This window comes from Homo sapiens, chromosome 4, assembly GCF_000001405.40.
Source record: "Homo sapiens chromosome 4, GRCh38.p14 Primary Assembly".
In the NCBI taxonomy this organism is placed as follows: domain Eukaryota; kingdom Metazoa; phylum Chordata; class Mammalia; order Primates; family Hominidae; genus Homo; species Homo sapiens.
Window position 1 is genome coordinate 69,720,480 of NC_000004.12, and position 18,209 is coordinate 69,738,688.

Genomic DNA, 18,209 nt, shown 5'->3' on the forward strand with positions numbered 1-18,209 from the left:
AATTTAACTTGGTAGCAAACAACAAAAGAACAATGGTAACAGTAATGAAGCCAGAAACCTCCTTGCCTCCCAGTAATTTGCGACATATTTCTACATTTTGAAGCCAGCTAGCAGTGTGGAACAAGAAATCCGATGCCTCAATCCCATTTAGATAAATAAAATTTCAAGATTTTCACAATGATTACCTTCATGGCAGCTGATATTAAATGAGCACACTGAAGTATGCTAGGCACTGTTTTAATTGTTTTATGTATTATTTCATCTTTGCAATAAATACTCATTGTCTACATTGTACAGATAAGGAATTGAGCGCAGAAAAGTTGTGACTTGCTCAAGTTTTCAGGGTTAGAAAGTGGCAAAGACCTAATTCTAAAAAGGCTTTATAATTACAGATTTTGTGCTCTTATCTTTTATTCTATACTGCTTGGTCTTCAATGTTGCCTCAAATCCCCTCCTGATTTAGCCCCTGCTCCACGCACAAAAACAATATGCAGAGTTATTAACTAGGGAAGAAGCTGTTAATTTTTATGATTTTCCTACTACAAAGATACTCATCTATATTTTGAGGGTGGAAAATTAAAATAGCCACAGAAAACAGAAATGAGATTTCAAAATATAAGCCAGTTAAATGTCATAGTGGCAAGCAAATTGTCATCAAATAGTCATCAATAGTTTATTATAGCAAAATACAATAAATTATATTTTATTGAATTCATTAAGTGGCAGTTAAAAAAGGATTACTTCACTGCTGAAAGTAATGTCTCGATAATGTGGAAATTTTACATATATATATAAAACAGTTCTAATGATCATACATAAGAAGACATTTGTGAAGACAGCTTACATAATAAAAACAATTTATACATGGGTCATTGATAACCACCAGTATCTCTCTTTTTCCCCGGCCTTTCCCAGTTATCTGAAGATTGCTGCACAAAATAATTGTTTTCCCATATATCATTAATATCAAGCATTTTGAAGAAATTATAGTATCTTTTTTTCTGTATATGAAAGGAATTACAAAATATGGAGAAGGGTTGTATGTTGATTAATGGTGAAATGGGGCATAATACTTAACCTTCAAAAGCCTCCAATGACGCAATTTTTATCACACAGAACATAGGGTCAATGGGAAAGAGAATGAAGAATGTAGATAGAAAATAATTTAGGAAGATAACACAATAGAATAGGGTGGATTGAAAGGGAATACATGACACTTCCCTTTGAATGTATGAATCTGAGTGTCTATCCATGTCATGATGAAAAGTTCTTGTAAGCAATGCTTTGGCTTTTTAGAAAATAGCCCTTTAGTTTATTAAGGAAAATTTCCATGGATGAGGAAATAATCATATCATTGTCAGATATTTGTTATCACTGTCCTTACATCATGGTTCTGTTAGAGAAAGATTGTAATATGAGATTATTTTAAGTGTTTTCATTTGGAAATTGTACTGATGATTCAACAGGAGAAATAACGATAAAAGCATTGTTTTAGAAAAATTAATTTTGCAGTATTCTGATTGATTTCAAAGGGTATCAAATGTATTTGAATCATAGAAGTGCCACTGTGTGCTGTTAAACATAAACTGAGGAATTAGGATAGTGACATTTGCATCATAGAATAAATATATAAGAGGCAACAACCTATTTAAAAAGTAAAGGAAAATCTAAATTCTATTTTTATCTCCACTCTTCACTCAGTGCATAGAAACATACCTGAGGCATAATTACAACTTACTAAGTTTTCGTTGAATACAGTCCAATTACAGAGAGTTATTTCTACAAAGTAAAACTAGAAAATGTGGAAATTATTTTATCTTGCTAGTGAAGAAAGTGTAGCTAATCTATTACACAGATTAGAGGATAGTTTAGTGGTGTTTTTTCCCTCAGTAATAGACCATAGTATCAGAAATCCGTATATATTCAGGCCACATTAACTTATTATTTAATAAAGATAATAGAGGAAATAGATACATGATTTAGTTTACTTCTCGTGGACAAGGGTATTGGAGAAAGCTGGAACTAGTTCACAATACCTTTAGATAGTCAAGATTAACTCCTATAAAATATGTTTCTGTGGAACATAAACACAAATTATATACTCTAAAATACTTTATAAAACATATTGTAATAAATCTATAGAAGCAAGTATCTCCAGAATAATAGGTGTACTACTTCTATGAGGTTTGTTGTTACCACTAGACCAATCCTTTGCTGGGGTTGGAAAAGAGAAATGTTACAGCTTAAGGAGCTATTTTAGCTATTCCTGGCTATTCCTGGCTGACAGCGGAGATTCACCTGTGAAGTCAAAATACGATAAGCCATAGCTACCTCAGTTGTGGCTCAGAAAGTCTAACAGTATGTCCAAAACCACCACCCCCACCCCTTTCAGAACAAGTAAGGGCCCAGGGTACTGTACCTTCAGCTTGAGAACCATGGCTTGGCATATAACTTGGCACATGTGATATGATCTCAGGAAAAAGACTTTGCTGCACATGGGGATATAAACAACTACTTCTAATGCCAAGCTGGAGTTAAGATCAGAGCATAACTGAAGGAGACAAAGACACAAAAACCCCTTCAAAAAATCAGTGAATTCAGGAGCTGGTTTTTCGAAAAGATCAACAAAATTGATAGACCACCAGCAAGACTAATAAAGAAGAAAAGAGAGAAGAATCAAATAGATGCAATAAAAAAAGATAAAGGGGATATCACCACCGATGATCCCACAGAAATACAAACTACCGTCAGAGAATACTAAAAACACCTCTACGCAAATAAACTAGAAAATCTAGAAGAAATGGATAAATTCCTCGACACATACACCCTCCCAAGAATAAACCAGGAAGAAGTTGAATCTCTGAATAGAAAAATAACATGCTCTGAAATAGAGGCAATAATTAATAGCTTACCAACCAAAAGAAGTCCAGGACCAGATAGATTCACAGCTGAATTCTACCAGAGGTCCAAGGAGGAGCTGGTACCATTCCTTCTGAAACTATTCCAATGAACAGAAAAGGAGGGAATCCTCCCTAACTCATTTTATGAGGCCAGCATCATCCTGATACCAAAGCCTGGCAGAGACACAACAAAAAAAGAGAATTTTAGACCAATAACCCTGATGAACATTGATGCAAAAATCCTCAATAAAATACTGGCAAACCGAATCCAGCAGCACATCAAAAAGCTTATCCACCATGATCAAGTGGGCTTCATCCCTGGGATTCAAGGCTGGTTCAACATATGCAAATCAATAAATGTAATCCAGCATATAAACAGAACCAAAGACAAAAACCACATGATTATCTCAATAGATGCAGAAAAGGCCTTTGACAAAATTCAACAGCCTTCATGCTAAAAACTCTCAATAAATTAGGTATTGATGGAATGTATCTCAAAATAAGGAGAGCCCTCTATGACAAACCACCAGCCAATATCATACTGCATGGGCAAAACCTGGAAGCATTCCCTTTGAAAACTGGCACAAGACAGGGATGCCGTCTCTCACCACTCCTATTCAACATAGTGTTGGAAGTTCTGGCCAGGGCAATCAGGCAGGAGAAAGAAATAAAGGGTATTCAATTAGGAGAAGAGGAAGTCAAATTGTCCCTGTTTGCAGATGACATGATTGTATATGTAGAAAACCCCATTGTCTCAGCCCAAAATCTCCTTAAGCTGATAAGCAACTTCAGCAAAGTCTCAGGATACAAAATCAATGTACAAAAATCACAAGCATTCTTATACACCAATAACAGACAGAGAGCCAAATCAGGAGTGAACTCCCATTCACAATTGCTTCAAAGAGAATAAAATACCTAGGAATCCAACTTACAAGGGATGTGAAGGATCACTTCAAGGAGAACTACAAACCACTGCTCAATGAAATAAAAGAGGATACAAACAAATAGAAGAACATTCCATGCTCATGGATAGGAAGAATCAATATCATGAAAATGGCCATACTGCCCAAGGTCATTTATAGATTCAATGCCATCCCCATTAAGCTACCAATGACTTTCTTCACAGAATTGGAAAAAACTACTTTAAAGTTCATAAGAAACCAAAAAAGAGCCCGCATTGCCAAGTCAATCCTAAGCCAAAAGAGCAAAGCTGGAAGCATCATACTACCTGACTTCAAACTATACTACAAGGCTACAGTAACCAAAACAGCATGGTACTGGACCAAAACAGAGATATAGACCAATGGAACAGAACAGAGCCCTCAGAAATAATACTACACATCTACAATTATCTGATCTTTGACAAACCTGACGAAAACAAGCAATGGGGAAAGGATTCCCTATTTAATAAATGGTGCTGGGAAAACTGGCTAGCCATATGTAGAAAGCAGAACCTGGATCCCTTCCTTACACCTTATACAAAAATTAATTCAAGATGGATTAAAGACTTAAATGTAAGACCTAAAACCATAAAAACCCTAGAAGAAAACCTAGGCAATATCATTCAGGACATAGGCATGGGCAAGGACTTCATGTCTAAAACACCAAAAGCAATGGCAACAAAAGCCAAAATTGACAAATGGGATCTAATTAAACTAAAGAGCTTCTGCACAGCAAAAGAAACTACCATCAGCGTGAACAGGCAACCTACAGAATGGGAGAAAATTTTTGCAATCTACTCATCTGACAAAGGGCTAATATCCAGAATCTACAAAGAACTCAAACAAATTTACAAGAAAAAAAAAACAACCCCATCAACAAGTGTGCAAAGAATATGAACAGATACTTCTCAAAAGAAGACATTTATGCAGCCAACAGACACATGAAAAAATGCTCATCATCACTGGCCATCAGGGAAATGCAAATCAAAACCACAATGAGATACCATCTCACACCAGTTAGAATGGCAATCATTAAAAAGTCAGGAAACAACAGGTGCTGGAAAGGATGTGGAGAAATAGGAACACTTTTACACTTTTGGTGGGAGTGTAAACTAGTTCAACCATTGTGGAAGACAGTGTGGCAATTCCTCAGAGATCTAGAACTAGAAATACCATTTGACCCAGCCATCCCATTACTGGGTATATACCCAAAGGATTATAAATCATGCTGCTATAAAGACACATGCACACGTATATTTATTGCGGCACTATTCACAATAGCAAAGACTTGGAACCAACCCAAATGTCCATCAATGATAGACTGGATTAAGAAAATGTGGCACATATACACCATAGAATACTGTGCAGCCATAAAAAATGATGAGTTCATGTCCTTTGTAGGGACATGGATAAAGCTGGAAACCATACTTTTCAGCAAACTATTGCAAGAACAAAAAAACCAAACACCTCATGTTCTTAGTCATTGGTGGGAATTGAACGATGAGAACACTTGGACACAGGAAAGGTAACATCACACACTGGGGCCTGTTGTGGGGTGGAGGGAGGGGGGAAGGATAGCATTAGGAGGTATACCTAATGTAAATGACGAGTTAATGGATGCAGCACACCAACATGGCACATGTATGCATATATAACAAACCTGCACATTGTGCACATGTAACCTGGAACTTAAAGTATAATAATAAAATGTACATATATATATATATATATATATATATATATATATATATATATATATATAAATGTTCCAAGAAAACATAGATCAGAGACCACACAAATAGATATAAGCATGTAATAATAAGTAGAAGGAACATTGGGTCAAGAGGGCAGAGTGGAGATTCAGCCTAGAGAGTCTTCCTTGGGCACCAGATTGGGAAATATTTTGCAGAGGTTATGATCATGTCTAGGATATTAAAGGTGCTATTAAGGTATCCAAATCTATCCAAATATAAGATTAAGTAACTGAAGTTCCCAAATGGTGACCAGAACACAGCAGTAGGTGATTTCTCTGAAGTTCAAACGGGTCTGTTGGGAAAAAGAGGACTCCCCATAAGAAGTAGGTCACAGCCCTCAGGGCTGCTTTTCAGAACAGAGCTCCAGTTCCCAGGTAACCAATCCTACAGAGACTATTGTAGGCGTTTGCCTTTCGGAGACTTAGACATTAGGTATGATATAGAAAAAAGATTTCCAAAATCTGAACTACATGATCGGGGACATGAACTTTGTTATCCAAATAGAGGCACTGCAGGAAGATGAGCTATGACTCAGAGAACAACTTGAAACTCGGTAGACAGCAGTGGAACACAGTGTCCTGGGTCAAATTTTCGGCAAAGGGAAATTGGGGCAGAGTTAGGAAATATAGTCTCATTATGAAAACAGCATTTCTTGGACCATGGTACTAGGGAGGGGAACTTAATTCTAAATCATAATATATGGGAGATTAAGTAAAATAAATCCCTTCTTTCTTATCAGTACTAGTGTAGAAAAAGGCAGGAAGAGCCTGTGGTTACATTGTTCCTTTGTTACAAAAAGTTAACAATGAACTTTAGCCTTAGAGAATTTGGAAACTCAGAATCAAAGGAACAAAACTGGGATCTGATTAATAACATTGAAAAGAATCAACATATTAAAAGCATATTATTCTCCTTTATAAATTCATTTGATTGCCCAAATCAATTCATAACTGCCCTCGTTTCAATCAACTACAGACAATCTCTTATTTCTTCAGATGTGTGATTTAGACACTTTAAATCTCTGTGCGGAATTGAAGTGCAGTTTTGGACATTTCTGTCTCATAAATAGCATCAAATTTCTCATTTTGGGCCACGGTGAAGTAATTCTTCCAGTCACCAGCCGTCCCTAAAGGTAAATAAAAAAACATAGGAAAGAATAAAATATTTCCATAAGAAGAAATCAGTATATACCAAAGGAAAAGATTAGAAGGCCTAAAGAAAGACCTTCCTTTTATTTGAATGAATTCAAACAGTCTTTAAATTGTATTAACCTTTAAATTTTTCAGGCTTTTAAAATTTGAATAATTTTTTACATCTGGAAAGGTGGTTTATAATTAAATAGAGTCTGACATTTGAAGAGGCATTCTGAGAAAGACTAATTTTCTTGTTTAAATTCCTGGGCTTTACAATAGTTTCCCAAGAGTGATAATTTTACTGTTTCTAATGGTCGTAGGTCATGAGATTATCACTGAGCACTTGGATCAATAGTCAGGCATATTTTATTTCACAAAGTAATTTTTGGAAACTAGACAAAAAATTAGTCATCAGCACAGCAAAACTGTGAAATAAAAAGTTGATAAGTATCATTTCCTAGAATTTATAAACAAGGATGCTATGATATGGAGATGACAGTTGTTTTTCCTAAATTCACTAGGCTTGTTCTTTATTTGTAATTTAGGTGGGAATAATAACATTAATATCAAATATATAACATCCTGGAACCATGTTTTTTAAAGTAAATCTTTGAGGATAAAAATTTAAATTTAGTCTCTCATACTTGGGTATTTATAAATATGTGTTTGGAAAATGAATAAACTTTTAATGTACTGCCAATATTTTTAGAGAAAAACATCTCACTATTTTATGAAATAGTAATACATCATATTAAATTACAAGCTATATTAATCCACAGTGGTTTGATAAAACTTCCAAGTCTTTTAAAAGAAAAACATTCCTATAGATATGCTTTTTTCCCTAGTTGTTACATTTTGTTCTATGTTCACCAGATGTCAATAGCTCTGGAATTCAACATAGGGTTGAATAAGGGTTCAACATAAACATACTGGGGCTAATGCATCCGTAAGGATGTCATTAAAAACAGAGGAGAACACAGATTTAAGCAATTAAAAGTTATATATAAATCATTCCAGTGATCTGATCTGCATATAAATTTTATAATATACGCAAACACATTTACTTCAAAAAAGAACTTTTGATAAATGCTGGCCAAAGGCCAGGTTTTTCTATTTGTTATAATTTAGGACATACGACCAAACATTGGACATAATCTATCCCACCCTCATAATAATAACATTGATTTATCTAATATGGCATCTTTCAAGATTCAGTGTGCCTGGCACATTTGTTCATACTTAACTTCTTTCAGCATTCATTCATGTACATGCCCCTTGCACTACATTGTGAGCTTCTTGAGTCAAAGATATGTATCATTTACCTTTGAATCTTTTAAAGAATATGTGCTGTATATAGTTATTCATGAAGAAGTTTTTCTATATGCAAATTAACGAATGAGTACTCTAAATGTTTACTGGATACATCAGGGAAGGAAGGAAGGAAGAACGGAAGAATGGAAGGAAGGAAGGAAGGTCAAACTATTTAGACTAATAATGCTTTTTACTTCTGTATGCATTATTTATTGTGAGAAAATATCCTAAATGCTTACATATAATTTACCATAATCCTCCCCAGAAACTTTTGCCACAGGTGTTATTATATTATCTATTTTGCCAGTGATGTAATCAGAGCTTTGGCAGGTTAATTAATGTATTCAGGGAATGGTGTAGCCTGGATAAACCTCAGATCAATCTGACCACAAAAGTATGTTCTTAACCCCCTAGAGAGGGGATATAAAGACTACCTTCAATATTAGAACAGCAAGTGCTTTTTTTCTATTGAGGTTGGAGAAGCCATAGAATCCAGATATTGAGCTTGTCTTCTTTATGTCTACATCATAATTAGATGTCATGAAATGGCATCAATTTTCATATGATTTGAGATAAAATTTCTGGGAAATTATATTCACGTATCTATCACAATGAGAATTTGCCTTGTTTAATAAAGATTTATTTTCTGATTCTTCTACCAGGAAAAAGAATATATATGTACATGTACACAACTGACCCTTGAACAATACAGACTTGCGCTGGCCAGGTTCACTTATATGCAGTTTTTTTCCAACTAAAAGCAATAAAAAATACAGTATTTGCATGATGAGAAACCCACCCACATGTTTTGAGTGCCAATTTTCATATAGGCAGGTTCTAGTATATTCAGAGGCAGAGTTCCTGGAACCAATCCCCCACATATAGCAAGGGATGACTGTCCATACACATACATTTACATCTGTGTATAAGCATACAGATAAGATATATACACATCAGTCTTCTTTGCTCAAACTTATAATGCATACAATTTTTGATGAAAAATATACCTGCTTTCTTACTCTAGAAGTTATTTTTAATAGGTTAAATATATTGTTTTTAGAAAAGAAAGAGCACAATTTGAAAACACTAGGACTATTTGCTACCTTAATAAGTTAACAAACAACTTTTCAAAAAATTAATCATATTACTCAAAATTGGCGGTTTTGTTTCATCTGTTAATATGCATAATACATTCCTAAGGCTATGCTCACTTCCTAGCATACAAATTGAAATTCTACCCATCTCCCTCCAATTCAATCAAAGATATTGAAAACAGATCGTGGCATTATTAAGTGGATAACTTCTCAAAGTTATTTAAGTTAGTAATTGGTTAAATGTATTGTTATTATTAACACATTTTTGACATATATTATGTGTAATAAGCCACAATAAACAGACTACTTAAATGGAAGTAATGTATTTCAACAGTAAATGCCATATTCTTCTAAGTTAAATTTAGACTCTATGTTACTAATAGTTTAGACAGTATTTGCAGAGGGCTAAAACTTCTTATAAGGTCAAATAGCAGTTTCTCCTTTTGGTGAATTATTTTTAATACAATTACCATGGTTTTCTAAGTGATATGGGGACTTTAAAGACTATGGTACTGTACTAAGTGAAATTAGTATTTCACTGAGGAGCAGAAGGAAGGAAGCTTATCTATGCCATCTTAGACAAAGATTGAAGGGAGTAAGAATGACAAATTTGGAATTGCTCACATCAGAGTTGCCAAAACCACTCTCATTTAGCACAGTAGTAAATAGAAGAATAAATATTTATCATATATTCAAGGTATTCTAGTAATAGCTTTACATGCATTGTTTCATTTAATAATTTTGAATCTCAGCAACTTTTGGTGGTAGGTATTTGCTATAAAGCTTAAACAGGCTAAGAAACTTAGTAGAGATCACAGAACTAATCCTTAGCTCATGATAATTCATAAGAAAGTACGAAAGGGAAATTAAACCCAGCAAAGTATTTACCTTTACGCATAAAAGGGGATTTGCTATGATCCATCACTGTAGTTGGTAGATGTGTATAATTTACCAAAGGATTGTCCTTCATCACTTCAAATGAGGTGTGATGGATGATCCTATCCAAGATCTCATCATTCAGGTTCTTCTCTAGAAATCTAATGATCTTCTTGATTTCCTCCTTTGGATTCTATTAGTGGGTAAAACCCAAGACAATAAACAAGTAACTCACACAATGTGAATATTTATAAAACATTTATAATCCGTTTTTTTAAATGTTGACTCTGAATAGTATAGGAAATCCATATTTGTTTGGGTTTTTCTCAATTTTTAAATAAACTAATCATAAAATATTAAAAATCAAGAATATCTGTTATATTTTCTGTGTCAGTCCTCTCTGACAGAAGAATAAGATCAGAACTTAAGGTGTGTCAGTGGTTAGAATGAGTAAACGAGCAGACATGATGATAGTAGAGAGAAGCCCAAAATTAAAGATAGTAGTTGTGCTAGGAAAACATATAGATGGACAGGCAAATAGAGAACATTTTCTTTTTGGGGTCAAAAATATTTGGAGAATAATTTGGCTAATCCTAAAATATTAATGATGATAGTAGTCCAGGGATCGCCAACCCACTGGCTTCAGATCAGTACCAATCAGTGGCCTGTTAGGAACTGGGCCACACAGGAAGATGTGAGTGGTGGAAGAGCAAGCACTACTGCCTGAGCTCTGCCTCCTGTTAGATCAGTGGTGCCATTAGATTCTCATAGGAGCATGAACCTTATTGTGAATTGAGTATGTGAGGGATCTAAGTTGCACACTCCTTATGAGAATCTAACTAATGCCCAATGATCTGATGAAACAGTTTCATCTGGAAACCATCCATATACAGCCCCCTTGCACCCTGTTCATGGAAAAATTGTCTTCCACAAATCCCGTCCCTGGTGCCAAAAATGCTGGGAACATCTGTGTTAGTCTATAGACCAGTAGAAGTTAAAGCAGAGTCCTGGCTCTGGCTGAATCTTCCTCTGATCTGTTATTCTTTTACCTCACTTATTAGGAATGCATGTAGATACTCATAAACATGTTGTAAATTACTGGACTTTTTTTCAAATTTTATTATTGATGTATATTCTATAATTTTCTTCCATTATTGTTGTTGCATTAAACTTCTCTATAATATTATCTACAAATGATTGTATGGTAGAAGAAAAATATTGTCTGTTAATGCAATGTATGTTGCAAGTTTGAAGGAAATTGTAAATATATGGATATGCTTAAAAAGGTAACCGGTTAGACTATAAATCAAAATGAGTAAGTTTATTTGAATAAAGCATTTTAGCTAAATAAAGACAGAAATGGTCTCAAATGTTATGTGGGAAACAGTGTAATGGTTGATTTGGAATTTGAATAACAGCCAAACAGAGAGAATGTATTTCTTAGTCTTATGGAGAAAAGGGACTATTGCCAGAAGCTAAAATTGTTCTTTTCATAAAGCTTTTAAGTGGTGCTCTGCTGTCCAAAACATGAAGAGAGTTATTTGTTAGAGAGCTGGAATAATTTTCTCTCTTATGAGGAATTTATAACTTACCTCCGGCTAAACAAACTCTCAAGAGACATATCACTTTGTTACAGTAGTTTCATAAACCATGCAAGGTTTTGCAGCTGTGTGGTATGAGCAAATTAACATTAATACTCTCAAACCCTGTGTAAAGGGACAATGATAAGACATAGATCACAGATTCTTTATGGGATGTGGACAACTGTGATGGAGAATGAATACTTGGGCAGTGAATAAAATCTCAGAGGATTCTTTGTGCTAAGATACGAGAAACCCCTGGGAGTTTCCCAAAACTACCTAAAGCAAGTAATATTTCACATGGGGCCAAATTTCTGTGTTATATAAAGTAGGATTAATGCCATTAAAGTTTTGGATATTACCACTCACTCATTTATTTATTGAAACAATCAGTGATCCATGCAAGTAATCTTGAGCCCCTGTTTATGTTGTATGCACTGTATTAAGTACTGGGATGTAGTTACAAAGAAGACAAACTTCGTAATTTTCATTGTAGATCTGAAAGTATTCTAACTTGTATGTTCAGGCTTTTATAAGTAAGGAACTAATTTCAACATGTTTACCTGTTGTGTGTATGTCTGTGTGTATTTGGCAATTTAAGTAGAAGAGTTCCATAATGTGGCATGAAAATTTGTAGTTGTATTTAATTAATACTACTTCATACTAGATAGATGATTACAAGTTTCTACACTAACAGTGAGATAGTAAGGAAGTAAAGGAGGGAATGTTTTGAAAGATACAATAGATACACTATCTGAACCAATTGAATGTGCAAAATATAGGAAACAAAGACAGTAAGAATAACTTTTATTGTTGAAAGAGAACAAAATAGTAAAAATATTACATGTTGGAGAGAAAGAAAATAAGTTTAGTTTTGAGCATGTTAAATTTAATACAAGCATGGGCTAGAAAATCGAGGTAGAAGTGAAAATGCAGGCACAGATAAGGGATGATTAGCACATAAATAGTTGTGAAAACAATAAGCGTGGAAGGGGTAACTCGAATATAGCAAACAATTTTTAAAAACAATGTTAAAATATTAATGAGTAGATATCTAAGGATAACTGTAAGCATGTGATATCCTGGTAAATATAGGAAATAATTGCAGAAGAAAGAGTGGTCAGATATAACGCAGTGGCTAAGAAATAAGAGGAATAAAAATAAATAATTCTTTTCACAATTAGAAACTCATTAATTATAGCAAGATTTGGGTAAAAACACATGGTGGATAGGCAAAGCAATCATCATTTTGGACTCGATAGACTAAGTTGGAAAGCAAATATCAACCCTTTTACAGCATGATGCAGTGGGGAAATTATCCAGAATCCATATCTACCATTTTACCTCTTTCATATCTTCATAGTACAAAAAAAGTATTGGGTGTTCTTCCTTTTTCTTCCACCAGTTTTTAACATGAGTAAACCAGGAACCATAGGCCACTAAAACCAGATAAAAGTCTATTTTCATAAACATTCATCAAATTAAATATTTCTGTCTGAATAGTAAATCAAATTGTGAAAACATTTTGAATTTAGTAACCAAAGGAAGTAAGAATATGAGGACAATCTTAAAAAGTAAAATTAGCTATTTATGGATATATAAACATCAGATATTTTTTAATGTCAAGTACAAAGAAAGCATTTCAGACAAAAATACACTGACCTCCAAAAAGTTATACTTAGTCTCATAAAGAAGAAAACTATTATCTTACAAAGTACTCATATCAACTATTTACCTAAGTACTATAAATATGACATATGCATTAACAGATCTAACTAATTGCTTAAGCAAGTTAAACAATGTCTATTGTGAGGAGAGACTGATAATGGACTTCTAGCAACTGAGAACAGATTATAGAATACTTTTGTATGCCAATGATTAATACTAGTTTTATAAATTGAAGGTCATAGTAAAAATATTAGATGCATTAGATTTAGTTTTTTAGATAATATTTGAACATACTTTTCACTAGATTGGAAAAATAAGTATTTTGAAAGTCATAAAAGTTATTGTTAATAGTATTATTAAAATAAAAAATACTTATCAATTTTAAGATAAAGTCCACATACCTTTTCCAGTTAAGAATTTCTCCAGATATTCTTCCCAGGTACCAGGAAAAGGCTGTAAATTATTCATTAAGTCAAAATGGTAATATGAGACTGAAACATCCTTGGCATTACGAGCCAGATAAATCATCTGCAGTGGGGGGTGGGGGTAGGAGAAAAAAATAAGATAAAAGACATTTTGTTTAGGAAAAAATTAACCTATACGCATGTAAAAAAGCAGAGTACTTTTTCAAATAGAAATTGTGGGCCAGGGAGGCCCTTCTATTAACAGCTAAAATATAGAATCAATTCAAGTGATTTTCAATACAGCAATGCATTTTTGAGATTAGAACCATCGAGCTATAGACGTTTTGAAAAAAAGATTTCAGTTTCTGGCCACTTGACACTGTGAAGCATTAATAGACCACTGTGGCTTCTGGAAGATCTGCAAGGTCCTAGAACACACATTATCAAGAAAATGACACTGTGACTAAAGAGAATACCAGCAAATTGAAAATAACAAAATTGTGGGAAAAAAATAAAAGTTTTCACTTTTCACTTCTACCAGTGAAATACCGAGAAAAATATTAGGTGCTGATAAAAATATATAGAAAGGAAAAGAAGGTAAAGATATTAAAAGGCATTAAAATAAGTTTGGGGGCATCCAGTTCAGAAACTAGAAGGTATAGACTCACTATTTTCTACTTCGCTACTCTTTTTTTTTTTTTTTTGAGACGCCCTGTCGCCCAGGCTGGAGTGCAGTGGTGCGATCTCAGCTCACTGCAAGCTCCGCCTCCCAGGTTCAGGCCATCCTCCTGCCTCAGCCTCCGGAGTAGCTGTGACTACAGGCGCCCGCCACCACGCCTGGCTAATTTTTTGTATTTTTAGTAGAGACGGGGTTTCACCATGTTAGCCAGGATGGTCTCGATCTCCTGAGCTCATGATCCGCCCTCCTCGGCCTCCCAAAGTGCTGGGATTACAGGCATGAACCATCGTGCCCGGCCTTTTGTATTCTTAATGTCACTAAAGCCCTGGAAATTATTCAACTTACAATGATACAAGAACTCCAAAAGCATACTGGACAAAGAGCTGAGTAATGCCAATGTGGTGAGTTCCTCCTAGGTGTCCTTTTTATCTCCTATATACTCTTGGATTGGGCAGCAAAAAGGACTGTGACCTGGAACCATTTACAGGCATACACGAAACAAAAAAATATCTAGAAAAACCTGCTCTCCCTGGTCAAAGGATTAGGAAAGAGGAAGCCCAACAGAGACATAGTGGAGAATTCCAAACTCTGCTCCACACCCGGGTCTCTGTAGGTGAGCTAACTCACTGCCAGTAATGGCAATGAAGTACTGGGACATTCAAACTCCTGCGATATAAACGGGGCTTTATAAGCAGTCCCACCCATTCACAGTGATGACATCAGAGAAGCCCTGTTTCTCCCAGGCCCGAAGGCTTCTCTCCAATTTTCAAAAAGTCAGCTAACAAGAGTGGGAAGTCCAGGAAAGTACCTTATACTCCTTTTATGTGGCATCAGCAGGGATGGTACAGTATGTCCAGCAGCCCCAGAAATCAAATAAGCAAGAAAAACAAAACTGAGATGAATCAAATGTTAAGTTATCTGACAAAGATTTAAAGTAGCTATCATAAAAAAGCGTCAACATTCCATTACAAGTTGTCTTGGAGGGTGGACCAATCATCCCCCACACCTCAAAAGGAATATCAAATTTGCCAACTACCTACACACAGAAAGTACCTTCATGAGAACCAAAAATCAGGTGAGCACTCACAGTACCTAGTTTTAACTTCATATCACTAAAACAGCCACTGAAGATGATAGGAAAGACAGTCTTAGAATTGCTATTTCCATGCCTCCCCCAACCCTTAGTAGCAGCCGTGTGGCATGGTGAGAATCTGTGCACTTGGGAGAGGGAGAGCACAGCAATTATGAGACATTGCATTGAACTCAGTGCTGCCCTGTCACAGTGGAAAGCAAAACTAGACTGAACTCAGCTGACAGCCTTCCATGAAGGAAGCATATAGACCAATCCTATCTAGAGGGGAATCACACGTCCCAGTGGTAGAAATATGAGTTCCAGCAAGCCTCACCACCATAGGCTAAAGTGCTCTGCACCTGTAAATAAACTTGAAAGACAGTCTAAACCACATACTTCTAGACATGTTCTAGTGCTGAGATGGCCTCAGAGCCAGTGGACTTGGAGGGTACAAGACACACTGAGACATACAAGACTAAGGGACTGCTTGTGCCACCCTTCCCCAGACTCCAGGCTGCACAGTTGGTGGATTCAAAAGAGATCCCTACTTTCCACTTGAGCAGAGGAGAGGGAAGAGCAAAGAGGACTTCGTCTTACATCTTGGATACCAGCTCAGCGACAGTGGGATAAGGTACCAGTCTGAGTTATGAGGCTCCTATTCACACAAATATATATATACATATGGTATACCCACAAAAGTTAAAAATTGAAAAAAAATTTAAAATAAATGAAAAAATAGAAAAGAAATTGGAGTTATATTTGTAAAGTTAAATATATGGAAATTATAGATCTGCAATGTATAATAACTGAAATAAATAAATAAATCACTAGATGGACCGAATAGTGTAATGGCAGTGTTAGAGGACAGAATCAGCAAACATAAAGGTATATCAATAGAATTTACTCAATGTTAACAACACAGAGAAAATAGAATAAAGACAATAAAGAGAAACTTAGGAACCTGTGGGACAATAACAAAAGGCCTAACATTTGTATGTTTAGAGTTACACAATGATAGGTGGAAGAGTAAGGAACTGAAACAGTATTTGGAGAATTGGTGACCAAAAACTTCCCATAAGTGTTGAAATAAATAAATCAATATATCTAAGAAGTTGTGTGAACTCAAAAAAAGGAAAAAAAAAACTATGTCAAGAAACATCATAAAAGTACTTCTAAAATTTAAAGATGAATAAAACTCTTAGAAAAAAAAGCCAGATATACAGCACATTGCATAATAAAAATCACCAATTCAAATGACAAGTTTCTCATCTAAAACCATGAAGGCCAAAGGGAAATAGCACAATAGTTTTTCAAGTGCAGAAAGTAATATATTGTCAATTCCAAATCCTGTATCCAGTAAAACTGTTCTCACTCAAGAAGGGAAAAAAGACATTCTCAGAAAAAGGAAAACTAAGAGAATCAATTGCTAGCAGACCTATCTTATGAAATAGCTAAGGGAAGTTCTCCAAACAGAAAGAAAATGACAGTAGAAAGATGAAAACTTTAGAAAAGAAAAAGAAAAAGAGAATGGGTAAAAATAGAAGTAAACATAGTAGCTAATCACTCACCCAATGCATTTCTTAAGTCATATTTTACAATTGAGGCAAAAGTTACATTATCTGATGCGGTGTTCAGTTTATGTACAGGATCACTTGGGACCATTATGTTGAAAATACGGAGATAGTAAAGGGGCCTAAATGGAAGTAAGGTATTTACACTTCACTTAAAGTGAGAAAATGTTGACACCATTAGACTGTGATGAATTATGTATATTTATGGCAATAGCTAAAGCAATCACTAAGAAAACTATACAAAAATATATTCAAAAATATTATAAATAAATAAAAATGAACTCCAAAATGTTTAGGTACAACCAAGGAAAGGAAGAAAAAGAAAATAAACGAGATATGAAAGAACAAACAAATAACGTGATAAATATAAGTCCTAAAATGCCAATAATGTCTTTATTTATTTATAATTTTTAACTTTTAGGTCCAGTGGGCGCATGTGCAGATTTGTTGCATATTTGTGTGTCACTGGGGTTTTGTGTACAAATGATTTCGTCACCCAGGTAGTGAGCATATTACCTGATAGGCAGTTTTTTGACTTGTACCCTCCTACCACCCTTCACCCTCAATTATACCCTGGTGTCTATTGCTCCCATCTTTGTGTCCACGTATACTCAAGGTTTACCTTCCATGCATAAGTGAGAATATATGGTATTTGATTTTCTGCTCCTAAATTAATTTGCTTAGAATAATGGCCTCCAGCTGCATCCATGTTGCTGCAGAAAACATGATTTCCTTTTCCTTATGGCTGTGTAGTATTCCGTGGTGTATACACACCACATTTTCTTTATGTGCTCCACCATTAATGAGTATTGTATTAATAAGTTTTCACTCTGCTATAAAGAACTGTGTGAGACTAGATAATTTATAAAGGAAAGAGGATTAACTGACTCACAGTTCTGCATTGCTGGAGAAGCCTCAGGAAACTTACAATCATGGCAGAAGCAAAAGAGAAGCAGGTACCTTCTTCACAGGGTGACAGGATGGAGTGAGTCCAAGCAGGGGAAACACCAGACACTTATAAAACCATCAGGTCTTCTGAGAACTCACTCACTATCATGAGAACATCATGGGGGAAACTGCCCTCATGATCCAATTACCTCCACCTGTTCCCTCCCATGACACATGGGGATTATTACAATTGAAGATGAGATTTGGGTAGGAACACAGAGCTAAGCCATATCATTCTTCCATGGTCCCTCCCATATCTCATGTCCTCACATTTCAAA

At 35.1% G+C, this 18,209-nt stretch overlaps 1 protein-coding gene across 1 annotated transcript in view; it reads right to left on the reverse strand.

Moving 5' to 3' along the window:
* Positions 1 to 687: 687 nt before the first annotated feature.
* Positions 688 to 18,209, reverse strand: part of SULT1B1 (sulfotransferase family 1B member 1) — a 39,454-nt gene continuing 21,932 nt past the window's right edge. Inside the window, exons 5-8 of the mRNA NM_014465.4 lie at positions 13,659 to 13,785; positions 12,934 to 13,028; positions 10,022 to 10,202; positions 688 to 6,721 (exon numbers count right to left, since the gene is read on the reverse strand). Of these exons, the coding sequence (NP_055280.2) occupies positions 6,609 to 6,721; positions 10,022 to 10,202; positions 12,934 to 13,028; positions 13,659 to 13,785 (516 nt within the window). The 3' untranslated portion in view covers positions 688 to 6,608. The remainder of the gene's footprint in view (positions 6,722 to 10,021; positions 10,203 to 12,933; positions 13,029 to 13,658; positions 13,786 to 18,209) is intronic.